General features: G+C 43.2%; 1 protein-coding gene and 1 long non-coding RNA gene across 3 annotated transcripts in view, besides 2 other annotated features; both read left to right on the plus strand.

Moving 5' to 3' along the window:
- The window catches only part of CA5BP1-CA5B (CA5BP1-CA5B readthrough), a 112,954-nt gene that overhangs the window by 63,237 nt on the left and 32,356 nt on the right, over positions 1-17,361 (plus strand). For both annotated transcript variants that reach the window (NR_160544.1, NR_160545.1), the window contains exon 5: positions 11,277-11,471. This is a non-coding gene — a long non-coding RNA (CA5BP1-CA5B readthrough). The remainder of the gene's footprint in view (positions 1-11,276; positions 11,472-17,361) is intronic.
- Positions 1-17,361, plus strand: part of CA5B (carbonic anhydrase 5B) — a 50,142-nt gene that overhangs the window by 425 nt on the left and 32,356 nt on the right. Inside the window, exon 2 of the mRNA NM_007220.4 lies at positions 11,277-11,471. Within this exon, the coding sequence (NP_009151.1) occupies positions 11,330-11,471 (142 nt within the window). The 5' untranslated portion in view covers positions 11,277-11,329. The remainder of the gene's footprint in view (positions 1-11,276; positions 11,472-17,361) is intronic.
- Positions 8,476-9,337: an enhancer, noted in NCBI's record as "NANOG hESC enhancer chrX:15765293-15766154 (GRCh37/hg19 assembly coordinates)". NCBI's record gives its function as "activates a minimal SCP1, AML or CMV promoter by ChIP-STARR-seq in naive H9 embryonic stem cells {active_cell/tissue: H9 hESC(naive)}" and the evidence as "EXISTENCE:reporter gene assay evidence [ECO:0000049][PMID:30033119]".
- Positions 14,170-14,955: an enhancer, noted in NCBI's record as "NANOG-H3K27ac-H3K4me1 hESC enhancer chrX:15770987-15771772 (GRCh37/hg19 assembly coordinates)". NCBI's record gives its function as "activates a minimal SCP1, AML or CMV promoter by ChIP-STARR-seq in naive H9 embryonic stem cells {active_cell/tissue: H9 hESC(naive)}" and the evidence as "EXISTENCE:reporter gene assay evidence [ECO:0000049][PMID:30033119]".

Raw genomic sequence — 17,361 nt, forward strand, 5'->3', positions numbered from 1 at the left:
CAAGGTTGGTTGAATCCAAATAACTCCAGAAAGTCCAGCCTTCTGTGAAATAGCTAGAGACGGGGGTAAGGGCGACAAATCTGAGGTTGCGGTTCCAGAAACCGAGGCTCAGTAAACTGGAACTCCCTCAGATCTGCATTGTATCCGCACCACCCACTATGCTAGGGGCTGTGGAGAGACTCACAGCCACTCACCCCCAAGACAGGGTATCAGCATCACAACTGTGCCATGCGGGCAAATCTGAGCTTTCTTCACCCTGCAGTTCTTTCTTCTGGCCTTTTTGTTTTGTGCTCAGCCCTAAAGCTGAAGGAGAGGAACCTCCAAATACAAACCTTGTTGGTTTTCGTGATTCTTGTGGCATTCAATGTTAAATGCTTCTGCCCCGAGGCTTGTGGCAATTGGTTAATATTGATGTCAGTGCCCTTCCCTCCTGTGTATTTTCGCTGGGAAAGTTTGAGAGATAAGGGGAGTTGATGTGTACAACTTAGTTTGAAAAGAACTTGTTCTCTCCTAGCCACTGAAAACCGCGTTGCTTTCTGCTTCCCATTCTTCCTTTACTGATAATCTGGCCATCACTCTGCTGTTTAAAAGTCTTGCTAGAGTATGGAGACAAGTAGTGCTATTTCTGTGGTGAGAGAAGCTGCCCCAGAGCATACCCTTGAATTGTCCCTGCACATCTCTCAGGAGTGGCCACTCTTCTTGGGTATGTTGGAAGTGGAAAACCGTAAAGCTTTCTAGGAATATTTTTTACTGAGGTTTTTTTTTTTTTTTAACCTCAGCATCAGGGTTGGAATTCACTGAAATGCCAAAAGCAGCAAGGGCACCGTTCTCTGTGCCTGTACACACCTGCCCTCTTCTCCCTGGAGCCAGGCAAAAAGCTGCAACCACTCACAATTGGAACGCAGTAAAGGTTGAGTGAATTGTGAGTGAATGAATGAATATGAATATTTGGGAAATTTGACGGAAAGGGGAAAATGCATTTCATCTGATTGGTGGCACTGGGCAATTAATTGCAGCACAAAGAGCAGTTATTAGAAACATATTCTGAAACCTTTGGCTACCACACATTGGGATCATGCTCCCAGGGAAGAAGTGGGTGAGAGGGGGAAGCTGAGCTTTCTCAGTCAAGATATCGCAGCATAATCTCTAATTTAGATTTCAGGGAATTGCAAAAAGGCTTGTTGCCTTTTGAAATCAGGTGGTGATCAAAGGAAGGGTCCATCTGTTGAAAATGAAGGAATTTTTTTCCAATGTAATTGTAACCTTTAGTCAGAGTACATTCTTTTTTTTCTGTCTGTTTTGCCTACATATGAATGGCTTAATCAGGCAGAGTTCAAGCTGCTTGTCATTTAATAAATACAAGATTTATGAATGACTCATTGAGGGCTTTCAAAATCTTTGTTTCCACGCATTTCTAAGTCTGGAAAACAGCTAAGGGGCAGGTTAGCAAAATCCAAGGATATACATAAATCATCAGTGATGGCAAAGAGTATATAACACAGAAAGCTCCCCTGTAGTCCATCGAGCCCAGGGACCCATCTTTATGGACAAACTTATGTACGGACAGATTCTCCCTGAAATACAGTAATGTATGGTATTAGTTGATATGTGCTGTGTTTGCTGGTTAAACATTATTTTTGGTTTCACAAACTTGGGTTTTATGAATGCAGTGAGTAAGTTTAAATAACCAACTCTTAAAAAACTATAACTTCTAATTTAACAGAGAGGATAGACCTTAGGCCTGAACAAAAATAACCTCATGTATTGTTATAGGTATTGCAATCAAGCATTAGCTAAATTGAATTTCTGTTTACTTGGATTTTCCTGGAACCTCCTCACCTGGATCTTCCAAGCTCTGCGCCTTCCTTGATTGCCTTTGACCGTTCTCAGTCTCAGCATCCTTCATGGCTCCTTTTTGTGAGTCTCCCTTGATATACCTGTAACTGCTGGGAGGAGGGGATTCTCTTTCTATCTGTAGCTTCCTGACTGCTCCTGAGCACCAGAGCTGTGTTGCCAACTCTCTCCTAGACCTTTCCTCTCAGCTATCCCATTGACACCTTAAATCCAATATGATTAGAGGGCTGGGCGCCATGGCTCACGCCTGTACGCCTGTAATCCCAGCACTTTGGGAGGCTGAGGCGGGTGGATCGTTTGAGGCCAGGAGTTCGAGACCAGCCTGGACAACATGGCGAAACCCCGTCTCTACCAAAAATACAAAAATTAGCTGGACGTGGTGGTACGCCTGTGGTCCCAGCTACTTGGGAGGCTGAGGTGGGATAATCACTTGAGCGTGGGAGGCGGAGGGTACAGTGAGCCAAGATCGTGCCACTGCACTCCAGCGTGGGTGACAGAGACCCCATCTCGTTCTGTTTTTCTTTTTCTTTTTTTTTTGAGACGGAGTCTCGCCCTGTCACCTAGGCTGGAGTGCAGCGGCACAATCTCGGCTCACTGCAACCTCCGCCTCCTGGGTTCAAGTGATTCTCCTGCCTCAGCCTCCCGAGTAGCTGGGCTTATAGGCTTGCACCACCATGCACGGCTAATTTTTGTACTTTTAGTGGAGATGGGGTTTTGCTATGTTGGCCAGGCTGGTCTGGGACTCCTGCCATCAAGTGATCCACCCTCCTCGGCCTCCTAAAGTGCTGGGATTACAGGCGTGAGCCTCTGCACCTGACCCGGAGACCCTGTCTCAAAAAAAAAAAAAAAAAAAAATCCCATTTGATTAGAGGTATGACCTGCCATCATCTTTCCCTTCCCTGTTTCTCATGACAGGTTTGTGGGGGATTTTGTTTGTTTGTTTTTTTTTGAGACAGTGTCTTGCTGTGTCGCCCAGGCTGGAGTGCAGTGGCACGATCTCAGCTCACTGCAACCTCTGCCTCCTGGGTTCAAGCAATTCTCTGCCTCAGCCTCCCGAGTACAGGCGCCCGCCACCACGCCTGGCTCATTTTTGTATTTTTAGACAAAAATCTCTAGACGAGGTTTCACCATCTTGGCCAGGCTGGTCTGGAACTCCTGACCTCTTGATCCACCCGCCTCGGCCTCCCAAAGTGCTGGGATTACAGATGTGAGCCACTGTGCCCGGCCTAACAAATTCTATTTTTCTGTACAGGGATTCATCCTCGTCTTACTGCTAGCATCACTCCAGCCATTAAATGAGATCTTCCTCCACTTCTTCCTTTTATTCTCCTTTAACTGAGTGACAGACCCTACATTTTAAAAATCACAATGGCTATCTTTGAATACCAAGTACCCTGTCCAACTATACTGTCACTGCCCAGTTCAGTGCTTCATATTCTCTTACTCAGATTATTGGAGTTTCACTTCAAACTCCACATGCTTAAACCTGAGCTACTTATTTCCCACCCAAAACCTGTTTCTCCCACTGTCTCCCCTATCTCAGTTTGTGGTAACTTTATCTTTCCAGTTGTGTAGACCAAGAATCTTCCAGTAATCCTTAACTCCTTTCTTTCACATCTTATGGGCTGTATATTCAAGATATATCAAAATTCAACCACTTCTTACCACCTCCACTGTGACATCTCTGGATTAGTTCAAGCCTTGGATTATCCCTAAAGGGTTTTCCTACTTCTTTCCTACTTCCTGCTTCTTTCCTGTTCCTCCCTGTTTCTACTCCCCAAGGCAATTTTCAACAGGACATGCTGTGATGTTTTTCTGTTTTTTTGGGTTTTTTTTGAGACGGAGTCTCGCTCTGTCACTCTGATGCCAGGCTGGAGTGCGGTGGCGCAATCTCAGCTCACTACAACCTCCACCTCCTGGGTTCAAGCAATTCTCCTGCCTCAGCCTCCCGAGTAGCTGGGATTACAGACGTGCATCACCATACCTGGCTAATTTTTGTATTTTTAGTAGAGTCGTGGTTTCACCATGTTGGCCAGACTGGTCACGAACTCCTGACCTCCAGTGATCCTCTCCTCCCGCCTCGGCCTCCCGAAGTGCTGGAATTACACGCATGAGGCAACACGCCCAGCCTGAGTGATCTTTTAAAAATGTAAATTACTGTATGTAAATGTAAAATGTTACTGCTCTGCTCGGAAACCTCCACTGTCTCCCCTTTTTACTTAGAGCAGTGATTTTCAACCTGTGGTAACCCTATTCCCCTCCCGCAGGGGACATCTGGCAATATCTGTAGATATTTTTTGTTGTAACAACTCTGGTATAGGGTGGAACTGGCATCTATTGGATGCTAGCCAGTACCGATGCTCCTAAACACCCTACAATGCACACAGCATTCCCCCACAACCAAGAGTCATCTGATCAAAAATGTCAACAGTGCCAAGACTGAGAAACCCTAACTTAGAGAAAGAACCCTTGCAGTAGCCCAGAAGTCTTGATCTGTCATCCATTACCTGTGAACCTCATCTCCTACTGCCTTCCTCCTGGTTCACTCTACTCCTGCCATATTGGCCTCCTTACTATCCCTTGAATATGCCAGACATACGCCCACTTCAGGATCTTTGCCCAGGCAGTTCCCCACGCCTGAAATGTCCTTCCTTTAGATAGCCATGTAACTAATTCCCTACCTCCTCCAATCCTTTGCTCAAATTTTATCTTCTCAGCGAGGCCTCCTGTGAACAATATATTTAAAAATATAATACCCTCTCTCAAGTGGCACTCCAAATTCATCTTACCCTGCTCCACTTTTTACTAGACATATTCAAATTGTCTCTACAACTGACTTGTTTATTACATTTGTTGTTTATTACCTGTATCCCCTACTAAAATGTGAGCTCCATAAGGGTAAGGGCTTTGTTCTGTTCCCCAATGAACCTAGAACCATGTTTCATACTTAATAGATGTTCAATTGATATCTTAATGACAAAAAGAATAAAAGAGTGATAGACTGAATGAAGGTTGGTTAAAGGAATCACCTCCTCACTGACTTTCCTGGCTCCACTCACTCCCATCCATCCCGTACTCCATTGTCAGAGTCATCAGAAACCATCACTGCTTTCTCCTGTACCCATGGAATAATATCCAAAAGGCTTCCAGTCTCTTGGAAGTTCATATTCCCCAAATTAATCTCAAATCCTCATCTAGCCCCACCTCCTGCTGCATCCCCTGGGCATCTGCTTGGCCAGTGCATTGACAAATATTAATAGCAGACTTGGAATGATGGGAAGTTCAGAAATACTCTTGGCTTTCTTTCAGAAAAACAGGTTTGAGGTTTGTGGGGTTTTGTTTTTGTTTTGTCTAAAGGAGAAAAAGAAAATCTTCAGAGTCAGGGTCCCCTACAGTGAGATCAGCACCATTCTGGGGCACAGATAGAGGTCCAGACTTTTGGACCACTACAAGCAATCTACCACTGAGTGTGGAGGAGAATGACTGAGAGGGTGAAGGTGAGGATGAAGTCAGGCCCTCTGGAGCCCTCCTGCCCCCTAGCCCTAGAGAGTCAGTCTGGATGTACAGGAGAAACTTCCTCTAGGCCAGGCGTCATTGGCCTCCAGCCTTGGTGTCATGCAGACAGTGTGATTGCAGAATGGAGGGCAGTCCTCAAGGCATGACCATGGCCCTGGCCGTCAGCCCCAGCCTGCCATGCCTCAGTGCTTTCCGGATGGCTCTCTGTGGAGCAGAGTCAAGGGTCATTTCCCAGATGTCTCTGAATGCCATGCTAACAGGCCTCAGACCCACCCCCGACCAACAGCCTCTTGTGCAGGGCCCTGTGCCTTGGCCTCATGTGTGTTCACTCATCTGTTTGTACAGCTCTCCTGGCTGGCGGCCATGCCCTTGGCCTTGTCTTATCACAAGCTTCCCTTTGAAGGCAGAGCCCACACATCCTTTCTGTTGACTTTGCATTGTACTTGCCATCATCTTCCCAAAAATTACTATGTCTCATTCTAACTCGATTGTGAGCAAGAAAGGAGGCCTTTTCCACTTGTTTGCCCACATCCCCCTGATACTGGAATTGTTTATTGAGTAAACCTAAAGTTCTTCCCATTTTGACTCCAATTGTTCTCTTCAGCATTGGGGCCTCATCATCCCCTGCCACCTCCTCATCATCGCGGAAGGTTCCCCTGTCCATCCCTCTGCCTTTGCCTCCCTGTTAAATTGTCTCTCTCCTACAATACATTTTTCAGATGCCACCCTTTCCTGAAACTTAGAGCCCCTGCGCCACATATTCCCATTGCACTAAATCAAGGCCGTCATTGTGTCCAGCTTTGATTAAGAAATTTCTGTTTATGGCCAGGCACGGTGGCTCATGCCTGTAATCCCAGCACTTTAGGGGCCAAGGTGGGCAGATCACCTGAGGTCAGGAGTTCGAGACCAGCCTGGCCAACATGGTGAAACCCCGTCTCTACTAAAAATACAGAAATTAGCCGGGCATGGTGGTGGGTGCCTGTATTCCCAGCTACTCTGGAGGCTGAGGCAGGAGAATTGCTTGAAGCTGGGAGGCGGAGGTTGCAGTGAGCCGAGATCGCACCACTGCACTCCAGCCTGGGTGACAGAGCGTGACTCTGTCTCAAAAAAAAAAAAAAAAAAAGAAAAGAAAAGAAAAGAAAAGAAAAATCTGTTTAATTATACTAAGTAAAATAAGCCAGTCACAGAAGGACAAATACCGTACGATCCCACTTACGTGGGGTATCTAGAATAGGCAAATAAATACACAGAGACAAAGTAAAAGCGAGATTGCCAGGGGCTAAGGGATAGAGGAGGAGTTATTGTTTAGTGAGTACATAGTTTATGTTGGGGATGATGAAATAGTTTTGGGTGCAGATGGTGGTGATGGTTGCACAACATTATGAATGTATTTAATGCCACTGAATTTGTACATTTACAGCTGGTTAAAATGATAACTATTATATATGTTTTATCACAATTTTTAAAAGGTAACAAAAAAAGAAGTATTTGTTTAAATAGTTTTTCTTTGTAGATTGCAAGCTTGTGGGAGTGGGGAAAGAGCATGATCTTTTCATCTTTACACAGCACAGTGCTCGACATGAGATAATCACTCACTGTTCCTTCAGTTCAGGACTGGAAATCAATGGAAAGGAAGAACAGTTAAGGCAAGCTTTCCCCATATCTTTTAGAAGGTTTTGAAATTTCATTTTAATGTCAAATCAGTTTTATCAGAGGGAATCCTGATTAGTTGCAGTTGTTTGTTTGGGGATATTTATTGACTTTAAAAGAAAACAAAAAAATGATACTAAAAGTCGTCCAAAATGACTATTTTCATAGCTTTTTGCATTTATATGATGGGTAGCATTTTAACAAAATCAATTTGAGTAATAATAACTTGTATTTATATAACACTTAGCAGCTTTTTCAAAGAGCTTTCATAGCTTGCACCATTTGAAGCCACAGAAAGCGTCAACTTCTTTTTTTTTTTTTTTTTTTTTTTTTGAGACGGAGTCTCGCTCTGTCACTCTGTCACTCAGGCTGGAGTGCAGTGGTGCAGTGGCATGATCTCGGCTCACTGCAACCTACACCTCCCGGGTTCAAGCGATTCTCTTGCCTCAGCCTCCTGAGTAGCTGGGACTACAGGTGCACGCCACCACGCCCGGCTAATTTTTTGTATTTTTAGTAGAGATGGGGTTTCGCCATGTTGGCCAGGATGGTCTCGATCTCCTGACCTCATGATCCACCAGCCTCAGCTTCCCAAAGTGCTGGGGTTACAGGCGTGAGCCACTGCACCTGGCCAAACTTCTTGTATAGTGTAACTGAGCAACTATTTTTCCTGCTCCTTGGGTTCTAGATTCTTGCATAAATTTAAGGGTGTACTTTAAGCATTAATCTTAACCATTTCAGTTCATATTATTGTAACCACTCAAGGGATTCTTCCTGCCTGCTGCACAAAGAAAGACCACGGGGCATTGTAACCGCCCAGTGGGTTCACATTGCCCGCTGCCTGGACAGAATCGATTTACCAAGACAGGGGAATTGCAATGGAGAAAGAGTAATTCACATAGAGCCAACTGTGTGGGAGACCAGAGTTTTATTATTAAATCAGTCTCCCCGAGCATCCAGGGATCAGTTTTTAAAGATAATTTCGCGGGTAAGGGCTTGAGAAGTGGGGAGTGCTGATTGCTCAGGTTGGAGATGGAATCATAGGGGGTTGAAGTGAGGTTTTCTTGCTGTCTTTTGTTCCTGGGTAGGATGGCAGAACTGGTTGAGCCAGATTACGGGTCTGGGTGGTGTCAGCTGATCCATCAAGTGCAGGGTCTGCAAAATATCTCAAGCGCTGATCTTAGGTTTTACAATAGTGATGTTATCCCAAGGAGCAATTTGGGGAGGTTCAGACTCTGAGCCAGAGGCTGCACAACCCCTAAACTATAATTTCTAACCACTAGCTAAGTTGTTAGTCCTGCAGAGGCAGACTCGTCCCCAGGCAAGAAGGGGGTCTTTTTGGGAAAGGGCTGCTATCAATTTTGTTTCAGAGTCACACCATGAACTGAATTCTTTCCCAAAGTTAGTTCAGCCTATGTCCAGGAATGAACAAAGACAGCCTAAAGGTTAGAAGCAAGATGGAGTTGATTAGGTCTGATTTTATTCACTGTCATAATTTCCTCAGTTATAATTTTGCAAAGGCGGTTTCAGCATTGTAGTAAAGAAAGAGTTTAAGTAGACACGAGGCTGGCCACACCATGTGGGAGATGGAATTAGTACTGAAATAATCTCCTCCAAAGCTCATAGGTTACGGGTTTTTCAAAGGCAGTTTAGGGGAATGGGTGGAGGTGGCTAGGCTTGCTGCTGATTGTTTGAGGAGGAGATGAGATCAAAGTGTCCTTTGATTTCAAAAATACAATGAGGGATAAGTTGATAGGATGTCTGGGAATTTGCTTCAAAATAAGCTGGGGAGGAAAAATGGCAGGAGGGGGGGTAGAAGATGTATAAATAAAACTTGATTGGCCATGAACAGACAATTGTTGAAATGGAATATTGGGTACATGGGTGGTTTTATTATAGTGTTCTCACTATACTTGTATAAAATTTAAGTTTTCCATAATAAAGTTTTTCTTTGTTAAGAAAAACAAAGCAGAGTGAGATTCTAAATTGAAGTTGCCAATGGCCTATTGTTCTTTAAGTCTGCTCAGTTAATTCAGTTAAGGAAGTTATTTGAAAACAGGGTGCTAATGACGCGGCTTTGTTTTCTGGGGTAAATACCCTGGGTTCGGTGTCTCACACGGAGAAGATTAACGACAGGGACACACACGTGGAGTTCAGGAGAGGAAAGTTTAATAGGCAGAAGAAAGGAGAGAGGAGAGCAGCTCTTTCTCTTGCGAGAGGAGAGCAGCTCTCTCTCTTGCAAGAGAGGCGTCCAAAAATGGGACAAGTGGCGGACTGCAGCAGATTTTATAGGCAGGCTTGAGGAGGCGGTGTCTGATTTACATAGGGGCCACAGATTGGTTCGACCAGGTGTGACATTTACATAGCACGCAGGAAGGCTGGTCGCCCCACCCTAATCTTATTTTGCAAAGGGGCTTTCTACTTGGCCAGTGCCATCTTGTCTGCTCCTTACTGTACACTTAGCTGGCAAAGGGAAGATGAAGCCGCCATTTGGAACATGCCTAGTCCTATGTAGTATTTTTCTATTGGCACAACTGCCAGCATTCACCTGTGCAAGCTTCCAGCTTGCTTGTCTATGTCTGCAGCTCAATTTTACAGGCTGCTCTTTGTTAGGAAAGAAAATGATTTGGGGGCTGCTTTTTATTAAAAGGAAAACCTTACTGAGGACTCCCATATCCTCACTATCTGCCTAAGTAATTTCTTCTTAACTCCTATATCACTATTATTTAGCTCAAGGCACCATCAAGATAATCCCTTGAAAGTTGATTACCAGTCCATGTTTGATATCCTGAGTCAAACATTTGCATCTCTTAAATAAGGTGCATTTTGACATACATGCTCCGTTCAAAAATGTATATACACAAACACACACATAAAACTATAAGCAGGCCAGATGCAGTGGCTCACACCTGTTATCCCAGCACTTTGCGAGGCCATTAAGCAGGAGGATTGCTTGAGTCCAGGAGTTTGAGACCAGCCCAGGTAATATAGTGAGAACCCCCCCCCCCGCCCCCGCCAACCCCCATCTCTAAAAAAAATAAAGTTAGCCAGGGATGGTCGGGCACAGTGGCTCACACCTGTAATCCCAGCACTTTGGGAGGCTTGAGGTGGGAGGATCACTTGAGATCAGGGATTCAAGAACAGCCTGGCCAACATGGTAAAACCCTATCTCTATGAAAAATACAAAAAAGAGCCTCTGCACAGGTCGGAGGGAAAGAAAGGAGTTGGAAGATCTGAAGCCCACGTAGCTGGTGGGCAGGCAGGAGTGCAAATGGATGTGAGGCCGAGATCTTAGCAGGCCCAGAGCACATGGCCTTGCAGCCACACCACAGTCATGGTTGCACAAAGGATGTCCTGAACATCTGTTTGAATGTGTCTCAAGTACTCAGACTAAACACTTCTAAATCTGTAGTGGAATGAATGTGTAACCAAGAAGAATTGATTTTTTTTTTTTCAAAATTTCAGAATGGAATAGGGATAGTTTTCAGGGAAAATGGATGAAGCAGTATTGTGGTGGGGAAAGTGTTCAAAGTTAATATTACCATAACTTCAGAACACCATAGTGAATACCTTGGAAAGCATCATCTTCATCTTCTGAGACTTTGACTGTGACCATGTGAAAGGTAGAGAGAGAATTCAGGATTAACTTTGTCTGTTTTCCCATGTTCAAGGGCCATTGTGTTACACCTAAAATTGGCAAAGAGTCATAGATTATATTTAAGCTCAGATTTCAAAACTGTCCATGACTATTTTGGCAGGATGTATCTTGGGTTTTTTGTTTTGTTTTTGTTTTTGTTTTTTTGTTGTTGTTGTTTTGTATGCAATCTAGATGCAGATGTTTGTTTTTAGTCAGCCTGGAGGGAGCTTTAATGTTGGGGTTCTTCGTACATGTAAATACCATGCTGGATAATTAATTGGGATTTCCTGGAGCAATTTTTTTTTTTTTAAGAAACTGTACTGTAAACAGTTTTTCATTCTTGTGGATAAAGAGAAGCTTTTCTCTGGATTTCTAATATTCGCCAACCCTGAGGGAAAGGCAAAGCATGTGAGTCAGTCCTCAGGACCCTCCCTGCCCTCCACTGAGGGGACCAATGAGTTTGAGGAACAAGAGTGGATAAACCGTTGACTCTCATCTGCCCTCCCTCCCTCCACCTCAGGGTGTGTACTGCTAGTCTGAATATTGTCCTGCTTAGAGGTTTCTCCATCATCTTAAGTTTCTGTTGTTTACAGCTTTCCCTCCTCTGCCCTCATCCCTCTAGATTATTAAGTTCCTGCAACTTAACTGGGAACTGATCAAGATTTCAAGCTAAAGATGGTGGTGATGAACAGCCTGAGGGTCATTCTTCAAGCCTCTCCAGGCAAATTGCTGTGGAGAAAGTTCCAGATTCCGAGATTCATGCCAGCGAGGCCCTGCAGCCTCTATACTTGTACTTACAAAACCCGGAACCGAGCCTGTGAGTACACCACTTCCTTAAAGAGAACAAAAAGGGCTCCAGCCTGAGTGACAGAGTGAAATCTCATCTCTTAGAAAAAAAGAGAAAAGAAAAGAGGGAGCAAGTGTGCAAGAGCAAAAATACTCATCTTTATAATAATCACACATGTTAAACATTTGTAGCTATGCTGTCTTTGGCTTTCCAGTGTAGGATTATATGCCTTATGAACTGTGAGAATAACTGTTTCTCTGTTGATTCATGAAAGTAAATGTAGAATGTTCTTTCTTGACTAATTTTAGCATGTTAAAATGATGTCATGCAGAAACTGGACAAGAGACAGATCCCGGTTTTTAATATTTTGGAACCTGTTGTTTATTATTTCTTGGTAGCAATTGTCTTTTTTTTTTTCTTTTAAACAAAGGTTGATCCACAAACCACAAATTATTTCTGGGAACCTTAAGTTTCTGGAAGTTGCATGTAAATGTTTGTAAACAGTTTACTAGCTTCAACGTTCTGGAATATTCTGTCCTGAGTTAGGAATTACTGAATTAATTCTAGCTGATCAGTTTGCAAGTGTGTGCTCTGCTGTAAGGATGGAAGATTGAGTGAGGCAGGAAATGGTCTTCCTCACACCTCTCTCATCTCGTTCCCCTCCTGGAAATACAAGGCATTGCCCATGTCCGGATGTGGCAGGGATTCTCCACTGCGGCATGATGGACATTGAGGATGGATCATTGTGTGTTGTAGGGGGTTGTCCTGTGCCCTGGAGGGTCTTTAGCAGCATTCCTGGCCTCTGCCTACTAGTTGCTAGTAGCACCCTCATGAAGCTATAACAACCAAAACTGTCTGCAGACATTGCCAAACATGCTCTGCGTGACTGCCCTAGAGAGGGCAGTTGAGAGAATGGGAAAGGATAATGTGTGTATTTGTGAACAGATAACTTTGAGTTAATGAAGAGATGAAATGGCTAAGTATTATCATTAAGGAGGAATTTTTCATGTTTTCCATTATTTAAAAAACATTGGCACAGAGTTTTCAAATGTTGGACTGCACTGAGGTCTAGGTTTCTCCCCTTTAGTGTTTATTTTCTTTGACCCCATATGCACATAATAAAAAGACTGAGTAAGAATGGAATGCTTGTAAATTAGTAATGCTAATCTAGCTACATCCAAGGGCTTGAAACTGCTCTACAAATATATTTTCACTGTAAGTTTATTTTGTTTCCTTCAACATTGACTGTGTTCTTTTTCAAATAAACGGACCAGAGGCATAATAAATTTCTGGTTGCTAGGTGTGGTTTCCTACAAACATGCCACATCCTACTGAGACTGGCTTATTCTGAACACTGGCACTTTGTGGTCTATGGTTTATATTGGAAAGTATTAATAGTTTTGCTTTTTTTTTTTTTGACAGTTGAAATTAAACATCCAAATCCGGTATACGTATGTAGTTAGGATAGTTTGCTGCTTTTAGTGCTGACAAAAAAAAACAAACAGTAGTGGCTTCGGGAGGGGCAGTTTTACTTAGTGAATTTCCCACAACAGATGACATGTTCTTGTTTCTAAGTTACTAGGAAAAACAGGGGACAGTCACCATTTGATTTTGTTTGTAGCATATTATACTGTTCCAACCTGTTTGCCCCAAGAATAATATTGTGGTCTTTGCTGCTCTGGGCCTTCGAGCCGGTCCTGTTTCTATGTTCTGGACCCTCGTCTGCTCAATTGTAAAGACAATTCTCATTGTTTCTGACAGCTCAATACCCCAACAGAAGGCCAATGTACACTTGTGACCAAGAATGACCCCAGATTCTTGAGGGTTTGAAAAGATAACGTGTTAATGAAAAAAGCCAAATTCTAAAATATTTGAAGAGGTTCATTCTGAGCCAAATATGAGTGACTGTGGCCCATGATACAGCCTCAAGAGGTCCTGAGAACACATGCCCAAGGTGGTTGGGTTACAGCATGGTTTAGGGAGACAGAAGTTACACGCAAGACATAAATCAATACATGTAAGGTATACATTGTGAGGACGAAACTCTGATTTTTTTTTTATCTTGCCCAAATTCCTATCTAAGGGGTCTGGGGAGTCATGCCCCACAAATCATAAATTCTCACCAGATGGGTTTTATTCAACCCTATATATCGTGATTTACTTTCCAAGCTGACTTTGGCATAACATTACAAGACAAAGAAGAAAATCAAAATATTTTACCCCAAAACATGTTTCTTTGCCATGTTTTGAAATAGCCCTGCAAAGCTGTTCTGCATGGGGGAAAATTTGTATCTGTAAAGAATCTCTGGGCCAGGCGCGATGGCTTACGCCTGTAATCTCAGCACTTTGCGAGGCCGAGGCGGGCGGATCACAAGGTCAGGAGATCAAGACTATCCTGGCTAACACGGTGAAACCCCGTCTCTACTAAAAATACAGAAAATTAGCCAGGCGTGGTGGTGGGCGCCTGCAGTCCCAGCTACTAAGGATGCTGAGGCATGAGAATGGCGTGAACCCGGGAGGCGGAGCTTGCAGTGAGCCGAGATCGCGCCACTGCACTCCAGCCTGGGCGACAGAGCGAGACTCTGTCTCAAAAAAAAAAAAAATCTCTGTTAACATAGCTAGATCTTTTTTTTCCAGACCCTCCCAATCCTAAAGAGATTAACTAAGATCTGAATAGGAAATATTTCTCATCTATTGTCTCTAAGGGCAGCTACTATAAGACTTCAAAGGAACTTTGATCTCCACAATCTTTATCTTAACCTGAACATTCCCTTTCTACCAATCCCAGGTCTTTAGACAAACTCAACCAATTGTCAACCAGAAAATGTTTAAATTTACCTATAGCGTAGAAGCCCCCCCAACCCCCACCCCAGCTTTGAGCTGTCCCGCCTTTCTGGACCAAACCAATGCATTTCTTAAATGTATTTGATTGATGTCTCGTGCCTCTCTAAAATGTATAAAAACAAGCTGTACCCTGAGCACCATGAGCACATGTTCTCAGGTCCTCCTGTGGGCTGTGTCACAGGCCACAGTCACCCATATTTGGCTCAGAATAAATCTCTTCAAATATTTTACAGAGTTCGACTCTTTTCGACAACACTTGGTTTGGCCTAGAAAGGTAGGACATCTCTAAGCAGGGGCTTACAGGTCATAAGTAAGTGGATTCAAAGATTTTCTGTTTGGCAGTTGGTTGAAAAAGTTAAGCTTTGCCTAAAGAGTTGAAGTCAACTGAAAGAAATGCTTGAGTTAAGATAAGGGGGATTGTAGAAGCCAAGGTTCTTGTTATGTAGATGAAGCCTCCCAGTAGCAGGCTTCAGAGAGATTAGATGGTAAACCTCTCTTATGGGACCTTAAAAGGTGTCAGATCTCTCCTGGATCAGGAAAAGACCTGGAAAGGGACAGGGGCTCTCTACAGAATGGACATTTCTCCCACAAGGGATGGCTTTGCAGGGCCATTTCAAAATATGTCAAAGAAATATATTTTGGGGTAAGGCTGGGTACAGTGACTCATGCCTGTAATCCCAGCACTTTGGGAGGCCAAGGCAGGTGGATCACCTGAGGTCAGGAGTTCGAGATCAGCCTGGCCAACATGGTGAAACCCCATCTCTACTAAAAATACAAAAATTAGCCAGGTGTGGTGGTATGCACCTGTAATCCCAGCTACTCAGGAGGCTGAGGCAAAAGAATCACTTGAACCCAGGAGGCAGAGGTTCCAGGTGAGCTGAGATCGTGCCATTGCACTCCAGCCTGGGCGACAAGAGCGAAATTCTCTCCCAAAAAATAAATAAATGAATTTCGGGGTAAAATACTTTGATTTCTTTCAGAGCCTGCTGTCTGTCATGTGATGCTCTACCAGGGTCAGGTTGGAGGTAGGTATTGTATTGCTACAAAGATTCTGTTATGTCAGTCTTATGATCTCTATTTGAGTGTTAAAGCTGGTCAGTTGTGCCTAAACTCTAAAGGGAGGGTATATAATGAGGCATGCCCAACCTCTCTTCCCCTCATGGCCTGAACTAGTTCTTCAGGTTTCTTTGGGATCCCCCTGGCCAGGGTAGGGGGGATCCATTCAGTCCGTTGGGTAGCTTACAATTTCATTTCTGGTTCACATGTGCAAAGTCCTTAGCTAGTGATGTCACGCAGTGAGGACTCAGTGTTGGCAGCTACTTCTAGTACTACAGTTGTTATCATCATCATAGGCTCAGTGCCTGCCTCAGATGTTTAAATCTGACCATTTTAAGAGGAGGCAAAGCAAAATAAGGAGTGAATGAAAGTAGGAGGTTGTGGCAAATTCGGAAAGCAGCATTTCAGGTCAGCCCTGTGCTCTGTGCTCATCATATCTTTGAATCTTTGGCTGTCAACTCAGATTGCTGTTTGGTGTTATCTCAGGTAGCAGACAGTAACTGTTGATAGTCCTAACTTTGGAGACTTGTAATATAATAAGATAAAGATAAAAGCCTATACCTATTATCCAATGTGGAAATAAAATCAGTTTCCCTTAGGTATCATCTGGTGAAATTTAGTCTAATGGTCACATAAGAAGATTTAGGCATGAGATCTTAGACCATAGGAAAGTGCATTTAATAATTCTTAATTGAATGAAATATAAAGAATATCAGGTAAAATGGAAATGATACTGATTTGTTATTCCAATGATTCTTAATGTTGATGATCTCCGTACTTGTAGAAGAAAGATAAACATGTTAGGATAATAGGGACTAAAGAAGCCAGCAGTGTATAAAATGCAGCCACTAACCCCATGTGGGTATTTACATGTAAATTTAAATTCATTAAATTTTTATAGCTACATATGCCTAGATCTTAATATACTGGACATTTCTATCATCAGAGAGGGTTCTATTTGACAGCAGTAATCTATATCATAACTGTACTGTGTTTGAAAGCTTTTCTATTATTTCTCCAATTAATTTTGAAGAATAAAAATAAAGCCTGGAGAGTAAGAAAAAGCTTGTTTTGCAGTGTTTTCACAAAGAATTCTGAAATATAGACTCAGGATGCCCCTAGATTGTCTTTTATTAACATGCAAGTAACCTTGAGAAAAAATGAGCTGATTAAGAGCCACTTAGAATTGCATTAATGGCCTCAGGGTTATCTTCAGCTGCCTGGGACTGACAAATAGCCCTGGAACTGACCATCAGGAAATGTGGGCTGTAGTCTCCTGTGCTGATAACTGCACAGGTATCCTGTGGCTAATGGACTCAGCATCCAAGTTCCTTTTATAGCCCTGATGATGCTCTAACAAGGCAATTTGTGATTCTGCGATCATCCTCAACCAAGTCATATGGAGGGTCCCTGTGTATACACCCATCACTGCATTAAGGCCAAGGCCTACACGGATATCTTCAGTAACATGAGGAAGTAGCACATCCCTCATAAAAAGGGCAGTGCATAGCAAGGGACCAGATAAAAAGCACATGAGGGTATAAGGCAATGCTTTCCGGTAGATAAATAACGTAAGCCACAAATATGAGCCGTATGGGTCATTCTGTATTTTCTAATAGGCCAGGTACAGTGGCTCATGCCTGTAAGCCCAGGACTTTGGGAGGCCAAGGTGGGACGATCGCTTGAGGCCAGGAGTTTGAGACCTGCCTGGGCAGCATAGCAACACCCCATCTCTACAATAAAATAAAATAAAAATATGAGTAATTCTATATTTTGTAATAACCGCATCTTAAAAAGTGCAAGTTAAACAGGTCAAAGTAGTTTGACTAATATACTTTATTTAACCAAATATATCTAAAATATTATCACTTTAACATGAAATGAATATAAGAATTATAAATGAAATTTTAATATTATTTATTTTGTACTGAGCCTTTGAAGTTCCTGGTATTGTACATTTATATAGTACATCTCAATTTAGACTAGCACACAGGGACAGTGCTACCATATTGGGGAGCTC

Source organism: Homo sapiens, chromosome X, assembly GCF_000001405.40.
Source record: "Homo sapiens chromosome X, GRCh38.p14 Primary Assembly".
NCBI lineage: Eukaryota > Metazoa > Chordata > Mammalia > Primates > Hominidae > Homo > Homo sapiens.